At 44.9% G+C, this 16065-nt stretch overlaps 1 long non-coding RNA gene across 1 annotated transcript in view, besides 1 other annotated feature; it reads left to right on the top strand.

Moving 5' to 3' along the window:
- The window catches only part of LOC105377448 (uncharacterized), a 192690-nt gene that overhangs the window by 145790 nt on the left and 30835 nt on the right, over positions 1-16065 (top strand). The window lies entirely within an intron of this gene.
- Positions 269-770: an enhancer, noted in NCBI's record as "H3K4me1 hESC enhancer chr4:139787241-139787742 (GRCh37/hg19 assembly coordinates)". NCBI's record gives its function as "activates a minimal SCP1, AML or CMV promoter by ChIP-STARR-seq in primed H9 embryonic stem cells {active_cell/tissue: H9 hESC(primed)}" and the evidence as "EXISTENCE:reporter gene assay evidence [ECO:0000049][PMID:30033119]".

Raw genomic sequence — 16065 nt, 5'->3', positions numbered from 1 at the left:
CAAAAACAGCACATGCATGCAGCAACACATGACGCATTCTAAAATGTGCATACATCAAAGGCAATGTGTCCCACCGCCGTCCTGCTCAGCTGCTCCAAACTTGTTCCCTTTGTTCCCATCCTGGCCCAGCGCAAGGCTCGATTTCACCCTGAAGTCACTCTCTAGTGCTTGTGTCTCACCTGATTAGGGCCAAGGTGGCAGCTCATGAGTGTCTGGTGTTGCTGGACTGGAGACTGGGAGTTTTCCACTGGAGGGTGGTTGGGAGGCAGGCACAGGGCTGTGCTGGGTAGACTTGGGGAAGCAGATCAGTGCCACTCCACAGGGGACACCACCGGGTGACAACAACCCTTGGTGATGGGTGGTCCTCACCTTGGGGCAAAGCGGCAACACCTCAGCCCCTCTCAGCTTGCTGCAGCTCCCTGGGGCCTGCTGGACTTTCTCTTCTGTGGGGGATCATAGCTGCTCCTTGTCACCCACTCCTGCCCCTGTAATATGCCTCCTCCATTTCTTCTCTATAGACATGGGGGTTCTACCTAAACCTCTGCTCTGTCAGTGTATGGCAGAATCTTCCTGCCCTAGATTTAGGGCAAAAACAAATTTTTTTTTCTTAAAAATTGAGTATTTGCAACATTTTTCTTGTTCTGTGGTCTGTGGTTCATGCCAGGGTAACTATAAAGGGGTCTGGTGAGACTAGATGGGGGAGAAACATAACGATTAATAATGTGAAAGATTCCAATATGTATAATTTAAGAGTGAAAGCCCATCATCATGTCATCCTTTAGAGAAAACCACTGCTTACATCTGCTGTGTATTCTTTCACATTATTCTAGGACTATAATGACGTGCACGAATAAGATATAATTATGACAGTATTATTTACAGAAATGGGATCTTCCTGAAAGTACTCTTCTGCATATTGCCTTTTCCACTCGACACATTCGGACATCCTTCCACACTGTCCGCTGTAAATCAACCTCAGAATCTTAGTGGGGAGGAGGAGGAGGATAGTATTTTGGGGAAGTTGCTCAGGCAATTCTGATAGTGAATCCTCCCTCACTCCCCAGGTGCTGCGGCGTGACCCCTCTGTGATTACAACCCCTGCTCTCGCTGCTCCATGCCCACAGGTGCTGTGCGTCAGTGCCACATCAGCATGCTCTTGATCACTTTCTTGACTTTAAAAGCGTCCTCTTCCCTCCCTCCCTCCCTTCCTTCCTTCCTTCCTTCCTTCCTTCCCTCTTTCCTTCCTTCCTCCTTCTCTTTATCATTTCAAAAAACCACTGAGTATAAAGGATACCATTAATGTGGAAAAAAAGAAACCACAGAAAGGCTTTTCTCTACCTTTTCTTTCCTGTAGATAGAACTGTAACTGAACTTTGAGCGCTCTGAGGAAGGAGACATACTCAGATGCCCACCAAGTAACCCAAGGTCGTGCAGTCTATAGAATGTGGCTTTTTGCCCCTTGGGAAAAAGCCCAGGAGGATCAGGGCTGTCTGGAAGGAGGCTCTGCATGGAGCCTCATGGCTGAGCAAGGAGTCCTTTAAAAGTAACATTCCTTCCTGTCACTGATATTAGGTTTTCTCACAAGGTGTATTTGTGCTTCTGCCTAACAGCATAGAAGGAAACAATGCAAACAGAACCAGAGCAGCCACTGAACTCCTGTGATGTTGTCACTAATCCGGTTGGTGTGGAGAGGAGCCAAGCTGCCAACCGCGTCCCCCACCCCCACATCGCCCTCACCGAGTGCTTGGGTTCCTGCCTCTATCAATCACAAGGCTTATATTCCGAGGCTGGAGGTGGTGCCTCTACTCAGCACTACCTCTGTTTTCACACAACCTCTATTCTAATCTTCATGGTCAGGGTCAACAACAGCATTTCAGCTTTTCCCCGAGACAAGGGAGATAGTTCAGCAAATATCTCTCTAACTTCAATATTCTGTCTCTGTCAGATCAATAAGGAACATTTTTTGACAAGTCTGATGTTCAGTCTTTAAGAGGAAGATAACCTTCCTGAGTGGAGAGAGGAAAGATTTCTGTGCCATGACATGATGACTCTTGACTTTCATCCTCAGCTTTGTGGAAAGTAGTGTTTTAGGGTAATGGGTGGTTGGTTGACTCCTTTTGCCTCTGTGACAGCTTCTTTCTACAAGGACTTTTTTCTTAAGCTCAAATACCAAGGCTAGTAACAAGCATTACAAACCATGACACCAGCAATCCTCAAGAGGAATAAGGAAAAACAAACAAAAAAACATAGCCAGCAAGTAAACGGCATTCTTTGATTTTCTTAGGAATAAGGGACACCGTTCTACTACGGTGTCTCAGGAGGAGTTACCCTGACACAATGGGTGAGATTTCCATTCAGTAGAAAGTTAATCTCACTGTTTTACAATCCTTTCTCTAGTGTTTTATTTTGGTGACTCTTCCTTTCCATTTTACCAATGAGAAATTTGAGGTACTGATAGGCTTGGTAAATATTACAGAGCAAGTGGAATTTGAAACCTTTGTTTTTTGCTTATTAAGAGAGGGTCTCTTTTTTTGGGTGGGGGAGAGGATCTCACTCTGTCACCCAGGCTGGAGTGCAGTGGTGCAATCTTGGCTCACCACAGCCTCTGCCTCCCGAGTTTGAGCAATTCTGCCTTGGCCTCCTGAGTAGCTGGGATTACAGGTGTGCACCACCATGCTCAGATAATTTTTGTATTTTTAGTGGAGATGGAGGTTTCACCACATTGCCCAGGCTGGTCTGGAACTTCTGAGCTCAAGTGATCCACCCGCCTTGGCCTCCCAAAGTGCTGGGATTACAGGCGTGAGCCACCTCGTCTAGCCCGGGTCTTTTAATCTCAATTTTCATATTCCTCCTGGGTTTGAGACCAGATGATATTGTAGATGCACATGAGAACTTCAGTTCAGAGGCAGGAACCTCACTGTGGTCTAAGAGTGCCACCTCACACTCAGTTTGGTCTGGTCCTACTTTAACCCGGGAGCTCCCTGTGCAAAGAACTCTGGTTTGAGGCCACTCTGGGTGAACCATTCTACTTCCTGCTGTCAAGGTGCTTGGGGTGCAAGACAACAAACCACTGGTCAGACAGAATCTGAACTGTGCACTTCCAGTGAAGTGGGATGGATCCAAGGTATTTTTTTCACCCCTAGGAGAAAGACCAGTGAGTTTGGTAGGGATCGCCTGTGGCTGCTTCTGAGCTGCTCAGAAGTCTCTACTTTCAACCTGTCTGGAGGAAAGCATTCACTCTGGGGCAGACAAATTCCAGTTGAAGCAGATATATTAAAATGAGGGACTAGGAGTGTAGATACTTATTTGAGGTCTGAAAAAGAAAGCTGGGGCTTTACAACTAAGAAACTAACTGAACCTTGTTAGAAATCAATGCATCAAGTGTAATTGAGCTGGTAGATGAAGCCCCAGCCAATTGGCGCCTGGGATTTGGGCACCTTCGTTTATCAGCTCTAAGCCTAGTTTGGTTCACTGATAATCTGATAGCAGTTCTGTATGCTGATTGGCTGGGGGAGGTTCTCTTCTCCTCCAATGAGAAGATAATCAATCATGTTACTGACTTTTGTCTTGGCGAAGGTATTTAGATTTCAGCCAGCCGGTTAGCTGCCTCAAGGCCACCTGCTTGACTGAAAAATAAAGAATCCATTTCTTTTCCTTTGCAAGGAGAAGGGAGGAATTATTGACTTGTGTGATAATTTTAGGGGGATGATTAAATCTGGCCTCTTAGGCTCCAGCTAAAAATTCAATTCTGATGACTGATTTTTCTTTTCATACGTCGCTGTGCAATCCTGTGTACTGCCATGGCTAATGTTCCTGATGCTGATTGTCCCTTCACTTTAACAAAGCACAGAATCCCCAGCCCACTCTCCATTTCATGTGCCTCCCAGCTATGAGGACATAATGAGGAAATGCACTCTTTCTGCTTAAGTTAAGAATACTATGAGTGTGCAGGCATGCTTAGAGGCTTTCTCAAGTAACACACTTGCTCTAAAGGAAAGAATCAGAATGGTGATGATTTCTCTGGTGATAGTTTGTAAAATATGCCAGTTTCCTCTTGTGCATTTCAAATTTATAATGCAGTTCATTGTGCATTTGGTGCCATTTGGCTGAAATGTCACAATCTCAGATGCTAAAGTAGTGAACAGGTCCAATGTACTACCAGCCGGCTAAAACCTGAGAGTCATTCTTGACTCTCTCATCCCCTGCATCAAATCCATCCGCAAATCCTGCCATTCAGTCTCCAAAACATGTCTCTACACTTCTCATTTCTCCCCACCTTTGCTAAGTACCACCTCTGTAAAAGCCTCATCGTCTCTCATCTGGACCACACCAGTTGCCTTCAAAGTGATCTCTCTGGTTTTGTTTTTGCTTTCCTACAATCCATTCCCCTCATGGCAGCGAGGGTACTGTTTTAAAAATCCTATCAAATCAAAAAGCCCCCTCTGTAAAAATCTTATAGCTCCCATGATAATTAGACCAAAATGAAGCGCTCTACTGAGTCTTCAGGACCTTATGAGAGCTGGCCTCTGTCTACTTTTCTGACCTTATCTTATATATCTCTTCCTCTCCTTCATCATATTCTAGTGGTTTCCTGAAAACTTCAAGTTCCCTTTCATCTTAGGACCTTTGCACTAGATATTTCCTATTCCTGGAATGTTCTTCCTCTAGCCAAGATCTTTACAGGGTGCCATATATTTTATTCATCGTTCAACTTAAATGTCAACTCCTCAGAGAATCTTTCTTGACTACCCAAGGTAGTATAGTCCTTCTGTATGATATTATCCTGTTTTGTCTTCAAAATAGCACTAACTATTCCCATACATTTTTCTTATTTGTTGATAGCCTGTCTCCTTTATTAGAATGTAAGCTCTGTCACTGTATGGACTTTGTCTATTGTGTCCAGAAGATCCCCAGTGCCTAGAATAGTGTTTTGCAAAGACTAGGTGCCCAATAAACAGTTATTCAGTGAATTGATGAGCAAAGAAGTTTTCCTAAATAATACAGGAAGAGGATGCTTTAGGTGTGGCCCTATCAGGAGTTAGGGAATGGGGCTGAATTTTTTGCAGGTTTATTTTTGATTTATATTCTGGGCTTCTAAGTTGTCAGAGATTTTCTGAGGCCTAATGTCTGTGGTGCAGTTAAATGCACTCAAACAGTGACAACCTCTTATCTTGGAGAGGTGAGAGACTGACCCCATTCTCAGCTGATCTGATCAACTGAAAAGCAAAATGTGTCGTTAATTTTAGGATCCATTATATGTGACATTTTTGTCTTGCTAAAGGTTAGGGGGCAATAGGAGAACTGGAGAAAGCTTGCTAACCAATGTATCTTTATTCACATTTAGAAATTAGTTGGCACTGGGGACAGTCCGTGTATTCACCCTGATTTGAGGTCTAGGTCTTATTTTTCCAGGAAGGGCTAGTGTCTGCACGGTGTCCTCAGTGTCTAGAATATCTTATTCATGCATAAACAAAGGGCAGGCGTGATTCAGACAGGATGAATCCCTGAACCTCACAGACAGGAGAAAAATGTAGAGTCGTGATACTTAAAACATTTCTCAGCCTTAGTTGTCAGCGCTGGTACCCACTTCAGCACATTTCTGAAATGAACTCTGTTAAGGCTAGGTCAGTGACACCATAAAAAATTTTTTTGCAATTAAAAAGGCTTAAAGGGATCACTGGCAAGATGGCCTTTTTTTCTTTTTCTTTTCTTTTCTTTTTTCTTTAAAAACAAGTCACTAAAATAAGAAAACTCAATAGATGTATTTTCTTACATCAGTTTTGCCCATCTGTAAAAGTGAGGGGACCCAGGCTGAGAAGGGCCTCTATTTGAGAAACTCTAAAGGGCAGGTTTTAGAACTCAGTCTTTGCTTGAGAGGCCGTTTTTAACTTCATAAAGGCATCTATCAGGAGACTTCGATGGTCCTTAAAGTTTGATAATTTACAGAAAAAGATAATAGGAAATAAGATAGAGATAAAACAGCTAATTGGGAAAGAGCTACCTTTTTAAAAAAGTTATACTTTAAGTTCTGGGATACATATGCAGAACGTGCAGGTTTGTTACATAGGTATACACGTGCCATGGTGGTTTGCTGCACCCATCAACCCGTCATCTACATTAGGTATTTCTCCTAGTGCTATTTCTCCCCTAGCCCCCCACCCCCAGACAGACTCCAGTGTGTGATGTTCCACTCCCTGTGTCCATGTGTTCTCATTGTTCAACTCCCAATTATGAGTGGGAACATGTGGTGTTTGGTTTTCTGTACCTGTGTTAGTTTGCTGAGGATGATGGCTTCCAGCTTCATCCATGTCCCTGCAAAGGACATGAACTCATCCTTTTTTATGGCTGCATAGTATTCCATGGTGTATATGTGCCACATTTTCTTTATCCAGTCTATCATTGGTGGGCAAGCTCTACCTTTTAGGATGAGCAATAGGCCTTACTTTTTAAATTTACCAGAGGGATGGTAGTGATTTAAAATTTTGTAATAAAGAAAAAGAATGACATCTGCCAAATCACATAATATTAAATGTACATTTTACTGCATTTAACCCATCTGGGCCTCAGGAAATTAGATATTACTGGCTGTTTAATAGATTAACTGAAATACACCAAATGAGAGGTAACAAAGTTAACGAAGAATCAGTAAGAGTCATGTGTCTGGAGTCTTCTTAGTATTCTAAGAGGGAACAGCTATTTTCATGAGCCATCCTGTAATGATAAGATACTATGGGAGGAGATGTTAGCCTCTCTTTTGAATGAAAGGTAATTAGGGTCCATAATGAGAGATTATCTCAGATAAGGAGTTTTATTTTATTTATTTATTGCACATACACGAATGTTTAATCACACCATAGTTTCTAATAGTAGGAAATGTATACAAATTAAATGTCTAAGAAGAAAGGAATACTTTAATAAGTTGTAGTATATAATTATAGTGGAACATCATGCAGCCATTTAAAGTGAGGTGGTAGAAGCTGGGTGTGTGGTGTGTGCTGGTAGTGCCAGCTACTCTGGAGGCTGAGCGGGGAGGATTGCTTGAGCCCAGGAGTTTAAGACCAGCCTGGACAACATAGCCAGAGCTTATCTCTTAAAAAAACATGTGATAGAAATAAATTAACACAAATGGAGCTGGGTGTAGTGGTTTATGCCTATAATTCGAGGAGTTTTAAATCAAAAACTTGCCTAGTTTGTTCAGATAGTTGTTTGGAATTACCAGGAAAACATACAGAGACACACACAGACACACACACACACATACACAGAGAGAGAGAGAGAGTGAGAGAGCGCGGAAGTGACCATGTATTTCTCTGAGGAAACAGGACTGAAGGTTTAGAGAGTGTTGGAGGCTGCAAGATCTTACAGAGCAGCCAACCTGAACTACCTCCTTTGCCAACCAGGAAACCAACATCAGAAGGGATTAAATGACCTGCCAGGGGCCACAAAGATCATTAATGACTAAGCGAGGGCTAGAACCTGGGCGTGTTAACTCATAGTCTTTCTAGACAGAATGGGAAGTTAGAAAAAAAAATACAATTTCTGTCTATTATATTATTTCTGAAATACTGTCTTTCTGCAATGAGGTGGCATATATAATGAAAGCACTATGGAGTCTAAGTTTGAACACAGGATTTTCTACTCTCCACCGTCTGATCTTGGGCAAATCACTTCACCAGTCTGGGTGCCTGTTCCCTGATCTTTTGGAAATACAAGCATAGGCAGTGGTAAGCTTTAGAGACAATATATGCAAAGGCTAGTGTATGTGAGCGCTTGGTAAATGGTATCTACTGTTTACCAGTGTTTATATGTTTAATATGTTACGGGGTACTGGAGTCAGACTGACAGACTTTGAATTCTGCTTTCACCACTTCCTAGTTCTGAGATCTTATTAGTTCTGTAAGCATCGGGTCCTTCTCTTTTAAAATGAAGAAAACAAAAGTACCTACTTCCTAGAGCAGTTGTGGAGATCTAATAATATAGTTCATGTATAGTGTTGAATAGCACATTGCACATTAGAAAAGTTGGATAAACATTGACTTTTATTATAATTATTTTAAATTTGGCCCTGGAAGATATAGGGCAAAAGTTAGTAGACTCCTTCTGTGAAAGGTCAAATAATTAATACCTGAGACTTTGCAGTCTGTAAGATCTCTGCTATAACTACTCAACTCTACCACTGAAGGAAGAAAGCAGCCCTAGACAATATGTAAACTAATAAGTGTGGCTGTGTTCCAATAAAACTTTATTTATAAGAACAGATGGTGGGCTAGACTTGGCCTGTGGCTGTAATTTGCTAATCCCTGATATAGGGCAACTAAGAACTCCTGCTCTAATGGCTTCTGGAAGAAGACATCTTGTTGATATAAGAGGGTAGGTGTCTTCTTTCATGAAAAGAATAACTAAATAAGTCACCTTTAGGCAGTGTTTCCTATAATCAGACCCTATTCATGGTAGCATTTACTTGCAGGGGGGCAAGAGACTCTCTTTTTGCCCTCTGACCCCATCTTGTTTTCTCCTACAAGACATGGCTAGTCAGGCTCATAAGGAGGCCGAGAACCCAAGAATCAGCCTAGTGACATCCACCATTCACTCAGTTTCTAGGATGTGCTCGAATTTCATTTTATGATGTTAGTGTTCAATGTAAGGATATTCCTTTCAAATGCTCTGTAGTTCTGATTTTAATACAATTTTCAAAGTTTCCCTTATTACAAACACTAGGGGTTCTCAATTTTTCTTCCCTCTGTTTGTGAAATATCAGGCTGCGATGCCCTTGCTTTGATTCATAAGACCTTTCATAAGAAGGTCTTCAGAGACATGGTATTTTTGGCCTTTGCTGTCACCTGGTGATCTTTTCCTATTGTTCATAAACCTAATGAGTGGAGGGTCGGGTGGTCCATTCTGAAAATGATTAAAGGTGGCACTTTGCTCCAGAGTGGAGGTGTAATCTTATTAATCTGGTACCAGAGTATATCTTGCAGGCAGAGAAAAGAGAAATTTAATATTGGCCACCCTCACATAGAGTATCTAGACCATTTATTTGCTACTCACTGATCTGGGCTCCAGGACTATAGAAAGAAGCAACTTGGGCAGCCTCAGAAATTAGAGGCTGAACTCTGACAAATGAACACTCAGTTGCTTTATATTCAGCATGGTGATTGCCAACAGTGGTTTAAATGGTAGTGAGCCAATCAAGAGGGTCAGGTTCCAAGACTTTATTGACAGCAACGATACAGGGTTAAGTGTTCCTCACAGAGCACATATGCAGAGAAAGCTATTTATGGGAACAAGGAATCAGGTCCTTGCGGGCTCACAGCAAAATCCTGTGACCAATTTTCTCTGCTTAGAGTACAAGGGCTGTTCTGCTGAAAACATTGAGCAGAATAGGAAACTTCTTTGTCATATTTCTGACAGTAAATCATCATATTATTTCAGAAACTTGACAGACAGATATTGCTAATTAACTTTTCCAGAATCCTCCTTCCCACAGACCTTTGGCTTTCTAAGGGAGCATCAGATTTGTCATCTTTGGTGAGAATTCTGGAGAGTTAATAGGTTATGACCTTGCCATGTGTCAATTATGGGAATTTGTTATGTTTTAATTATGTAAACAGTGTTTTTTATAGGTATTAAGTATATATTTACAACATTTTCTTGAACATGATTTCACTTTTCTTTCTTTTTCTTTCTTCTTTTTTTTTTTTTTTTTAAAGAGAGTCCTGCTGGCCGGGCGCGGTGGCTCACGCCTGTAATCCCAGCACTTTGGGAGGCCGAGGCGGGCGGATCACGAGGTCAAGAGATCGAGACCATCCTGGCTAACACGGTGAAACCCTGTCGCTACTAAAAATACAAAAAAAATTAGCCGGGCGTTGTGGTGGGCGCCTGTAGTCCCAGCTACTCGGGAGGCTGAGGCAGGAGAATGGCGTGAACCCGGGAGGCGGAGCTTGCAGTGAGCCGAGATCGCGCCACTGCACTCTAGCCTGGTCGACAGAGCGAGACTCCGTCTCAAAAAAAAAAAAAAAAAAAAAAGAGAGTCCTGCTCTGTTGCCCAGGCTGGAGTGCAGTGGCACGATCATAGCTCACTGCAACCTCCAACTCCTCAGCTCAGGCAATCCTTTCAGCCTCCCAAGTAGTTGGGACTACAAGTGTGTGCCGCCATGCCTGGCTAATTTTTTAATTTTTAGTAGAGACAGGGTCTTGCTATATTGCCCAGGCTGGCCTCAAACCCCTGGGCTCAGGAGATACTCCTGCCTTAGCCTCCCAAAGTGCTGGGATTACAAGCGTGAGCCACCATGCTCAGCCTTTTTTTCTCTCTAGATAATAGAGTTGACATTCCTTCATAGTGGACTCCATTTACTCAGTGTGCCACCTTTTTATTTCTGAGGAAACATGAATTATCTATTAAATTAATTTTGTATGAATAGATGATGAATTAATGTACAAGCTTCTGAGAGCTATTTACTTTTGAATAGCAGTTTCTGTGAGACACAGTACTTTAACCAAAAGGAATGCATCTTCAATCAAATATTTGGTGTGAGGGAGTGCTCTGTGTATGGTGGTGGTGGGGAAGGTGGGGTTAGAGAGCGTATTTTATCGTTTCTGAAGCCATCACGTGTAGCTGGCTGCCCGACTGTGAATAAAGCCTTGTGCCCCATAGCAAGCATGTGGGACCAGACAAAATAGAGACAGGGAGGAACAGGCAATGAGGGGATCAGTGTGGGGAGCTCAGAAAAAAAGGGTTGCAAGAAGAATTTCTTCAGTCACGTCAGATACAGCAAAAAGTCCAAGGGATTAAGAATCAGTTCAGACTATGTGACTTGGCAAAATAGTTTAATTTGATGATTTGAAAGAGCAATTTTAATGGTTTGGAGAGCATGAAAGCCACATTTCTGATGTGTCCAGAGAGAATGAGTGGTGAGGTGATTTTGCTAGTAAAGAAGAGATCAAAATAAAGCAATATTTGAGGCAGTACTAGGGTAAGCATGAGAGAAAATGATGTTCCCAGCAGTCTTGCTGGTCTCATGGCCAGTCCATGGAAGAGCAGGGCTGGGATCCAACTCTCCTGACAGCAGCCTAGGGAGGATCTTCTGTGGAAGAGGAGCATCAACATATTTGGTGACAGAAGGAAAGGACCACTGGAGGATAGGGTGAGAATGCTGGAGAGGCAGTTGGTTTTTGAGAAAAAGAGAGATCTCTTCTTTTAAGGCTGGGAGGGAAGATCAAAAGGTTGATATAGTCAAGGGTGCTCTTTGCCCAAGGGAGGCAGATGGAGGAACTCTGTTGGGTTATCGTGCTCCCTGGAGAATCCATGTTGATGGTCAATGAAATTTCTCTTTCTCTCTCTCTCACCTGCCTCCCCCAACATGCACACATACTGCTTCTCCCACCCCCAAACTTGTTAACACGTAATAGTGCAATAGTGAACAATGGACAGACATTTAATAAGTCTTACTTGGGCTGATTCTTCCCCTTTTCAGGGAGTTAATCTTAAAATAATTACTATGACTAGCTATTGTGGATTTAATTGAGGAGAGAAAATTGTTTCCATTTTCACATTTACATCTCTTTTAAGTTCAAGTGTTTTTTTTTTTTTTTTTATTGATCATTCTTGGGTGTTTCTCACAGAGGGGGATTTGGCAGGGTCATAGGACAATAGTGGAGGGAAGGTCAGCAGATAAACAAGTGAACAAAGGTCTCTGGTTTTCCTAGGCAGAGGACTGTGCGGCCTTCCGCAGCGTTTGTGTCCCTGGGTACTTGAGATTAGGGAGTGGTGATGACTCTTAATGAGCATGCTGCCTTCAAGCATCTGTTTAACAAAGCACATCTTGCACCGCCCTTAATCCATTTAACTCTGAGTGGACACAGCACATGTTTCAGAGAGCACAGGGTTGGGGGTAAGGTCACAGATCAACAGGATCCCAAGGCAGAAGAATTTTTCTTAGTACAGAACAAAATGAAAAGTCTCCCATGTCTACTTCTTTCTACACAGACACGGCAACCATCCGATTTCTCAATCTTTTCCCCACCTTTCCCCCCTTTCTATTCCACAAAGCTGCCATTGTCATCCTGGCCCGTTCTCAATGAGCTGTTGGGCACACCTCCCAGACGGGGTGGTGGCCGGGCAGAGGGGCTCCTCACTTCCCAGTAGGGGCGGCCGGGCAGAGGCGCCCCTCACCTCCCGGATGGGGCGGCTGGCCGGGCGGGGGGCTGACCCCCTCACCTCCCTCCCGGAGGGGGCGGCTGGCTGGGCAGAGGGGCTCCTCACTTCCCAGTAGGGGCGGCCGGGCAGAGGCGCCCCTCACCTTCCGGACGGGGTGGCTGGCCGGGCGGGGGGCTGACCCCCCCACCTCCCTCCTGGACTGGGCGGCTGGCCGGGCGGGGGGCTGACCCCCCCACCTCCCTCCTGGACAGGGCGGCTGGCTGGGCAGAGGGGCTCCTCACTTCCCAGTAGGGGTGGCTGGGCAGAGGCGCCCCTCACCTCCCGGACGGGGCGGCTGGCCGGGTGGGGGGCTGACCCCCCCACCTCCCTCCCGGATGGGGTGGCTGCCGGGTGGAGATGCTCCTCACTTCCCAGACGGGGTGGCTGCCGGGCGGAGAGGCTCCTCACTTCTCAGACGGGGCGGCTGCCGGGCGGAGAGGCTCCTCACTTCTCATACTGGGTGGCTGCCGGGTGGAGGGTCTCCTCACTTCTCAGACGGGGCGGCCCGGCAGAGACGCTCCTCACCTCCCAGACGGGGTGGCGGGGCAGAGGCGCTCCCCACATCCCAGACGATGGGCGGCCGGGCAGAGACGCTCCTCACTTCCTAGATGTGATGGCGGCCGGGAAGAGGCGCTCCTCACTTCCCAGATGGGATGGCGGCCGGGCAGAGACGCTCCTCACTTTCCAGACTGGGCAGCCAGGCAGAGGGGCTCCTCACATCCCAGACGATGGGCGGCCAGGCAGAGACGCTCCTCACTTCCCAGACGGGGTGGTGGCTGGGCAGAGGCTGCAATCTCGGCACTTCTGGGAGGCCAAGGCAGGCGGCTGGGAGGTGGAGGTTGTAGCCAGCCGAGATCACGCCACTGCACTCCAGCCTGGGCGCCATTGAGCACTGAGTGAACCAGACTCCGTCTGCAATCCCGGCACCTCGGGAGGCCGAGGCTGGCTGATCACTCGCGGTTAGGAGCTGGAGACCAGCCCGGCCAACACAGCGAAACCCCGTCTCCACCAAAAAAATACGAAAACCAGTCAGGCGTGGCGGCGCGCGCCTGCAATTGCAGGCACTCCGCAGGCTGAGGCAGGAGAATCAGGCCAGGGAGGTTGCAGTGAGCCGAGATGGCAGCAGTATAGTCCAGCTTCTGCTCGGCATGAGAGGGAGACCATGGGGAGAGGGAGACCATGGGGAGAGGGAGAGGGAGAGGGAGCGCATTCCAGTTCAAGTGTTTTTTAAGGACTATTTTGATGCACTTCTTTACCTACATAGTATAGATTATGGCAGAGATAGCTACATTTCATGGAGCCACGAGGTCTCTATCCTCCCTCTCTTCTCTCCTCCTCCCACCCACTTGCCTGCCCTTCCTTTCTTCCTTTTCTCTTTCCCTCTTTCCTTTCTCCTTCCCTCACTTCCTCTCTTCCTCCCTCCTGCTTCTTTCCTTCCTTCCCAAACTGATTTCTAAACATCGAGTACATCCTAAGACTAGGATCCATAAAATAGCCTTAATAATTTTACCAGAACTAACTCCTAACCATTACAGGGTATCTCTTTAAGTAGAATAATACAAATAATAAAAAACAATCTACCAATGCTATTTTGAGTAGTGTCTGGGGGTTCAGCGGATAGCATGAGCATTCTGTAAATTTCCTTCCAATGTTATTTTGGTTTTGCCTGTTAGGAAGTGCTAGGGGAAAAATAATGGGTGCTTTACAACCACCATAAGAAAAGAGCCAGGATCCTTTCATTTCATGTTTATATGATGACAAGTCTGCATCCCTGCTCCATCTGCTTATTCCCATCTGCAGTATCAGGACAGGGAGCGAATAGCTAAAATGATAGTCTTCTTGGATTTGTATCACAGGATAAACCATAGATCCCAGAAATGAATCAGTAAGCTTGTGTTTATCCAAAGTGCAAACATCCAGAGAGCTCACATTAGCAGGTGTATTTCTAGAAGTGGGGGCCAGTGAGGAGCCACCTTCATAGTTGTCACCCAAGGCTTGGCATCATCCTGTGGTGCTGTCTGGATTATCAAGAGAGATTCTTTTTTGTTCAGTTTCAGTATTCAATTGATTTCATTTGATTTTGTAATTTGCTGAAAATGGATAGAGCCTTTCCCAGAATTAGCAGGGGTACTGAATTTCTAGCCATTTTCTATGAACAGGGGTTTACTGGACAAAGGGAAAGAAAATTCTTCTGTTTTTTTTTCCCCCTGAAGATGCAATGAGACTGAAGAGACAGAAAATCTCTTCTTTAAAGCTTGATGTGAGAGGAGGAAGGAATTGCCTTTACCTACCTTGCCTATCCACCTGAGTTCAATCACAAAAGGAAGTAGCACCCACCAAAGGGTTAATTTCTAAAACCTGACTGCTCCTAGGGAAGCCGACAGCAAGTAAAGCTACTTCCCTGGTCTAATTACCCACTGAAAGCTGGGGTGGGAGTCGAGTCTCGGCAGGAGGCACCTGCCCTACCTGCCTGAATAGTTAAGCTGCAACGTGCCTCGTTTTTAATCCTATACACAGCCCTTTCTTCTGTTCGTTGTTATTTTCCTTCCTCACCTCTGGACACTTCGGCACATTCGCTTGAAACATCGTCATGGGAGAACTCAGCTTTGACAGAAACCTCTCTGAAAATTTTTTTTGCCTGTTCTGGCTTGCACTTGAATAATTCTCCATCAACAGCACGACTGATTGAGTTGGCATCACAAACCCTTTTGTACGCTATTTTTTTCTTCAAGAAATATTAAAGTCTGAATAAAATTGAAATAGCTGCCTGGTAATGATCTCATTATATATAAATACAGAAGTGCTCACAGGGGAGATAATGACTCCAAGACTCAGGTATGCAGCGAATACCTATTATCTTCCAAGGAGTCAGCCCACATTCAGCACTCCTCCACAGCGCCCCGCAACATCCCTTTCAGTTTCAGGCTCAAGTCACAGAATACGAAGGGCTGATTGAAGCTGGGAATAGACTTTTTTCCCTCCCCCTTCATGACATATGTTAGGAGATGAAAGGAACCTGGGCTGTGTGTTTACTCTTCATTTGGGAGTTTCACATGTTCTGATTGATCGGAAAGACAAAAAGGCAGAAGGAGAGACATTTGGTGCTGGCTGAAAACCATATCCATTCTCAATGTGAAGTTTCCTTGTTTGGTGAGGATAATTGTGATGAGGCAGTTCTGGGTATAGACGCTACTAAAAGACTTTTAAAAATAACAGGCCCACCACCCAGTTTGAGTTCTTATGTAGCAAAAGAACAAACACAGATGGTGGCAGTAGGAATGGGGGCCGGGGTGGAAAAGGCCCTCCTAATGTGGGAGTTTACTAGTTATTAGCCCCAGTAATCTCTTCTGGCTGCCAGGACCTAAGCAGATGAGTTTAGCACATCACAGAGGACCACATGTAGGGTTTGATTCCTGATATGGACTAAGTGACTCTGGAAAAATTTTTACTCCCTGTGATTAGTATCAAAAGAAGATATTGGGTAGAGGAGAGGATAGACTATATTGTTCTACATGTTCTTGTTAGTTTCTAAAGGGGCATTTATTTAAGGGGGCATTGCAACCTGGGCAACATAGTGAGATGCTATCTCTACAAAAAAAAGAAATTAAAAAATTACCTGGGTGTGGTGACACATGCCTGTAGTTCCAGCTACTCAGGAGACTAAGGCAGGGGGATTGCTTGAGCCCAGGAGTTTGAGGCTGCAGTGAGCTATGACTGTGCTACTGCACTCCAGCCTGGGCAAGAGAGAAAGACCTTGTCTCAAAACAAAAACAGCAACAAACAACAACAACAAACAAAAGGGGCATTGCGATATACCACCTTGGACCAGGAAGAGAGGTGGAGTGGAGGATGAGTACTTGGCTCTTTCT

This window comes from Homo sapiens, chromosome 4 (genome assembly GCF_000001405.40).
Source record: "Homo sapiens chromosome 4, GRCh38.p14 Primary Assembly".
NCBI classification, from domain to species: Eukaryota; Metazoa; Chordata; class Mammalia; order Primates; family Hominidae; genus Homo; species Homo sapiens.
The sequence above is the reverse complement of the archived record's forward strand: the minus strand, read 5'-3'. Positions and strand labels throughout refer to the sequence as shown.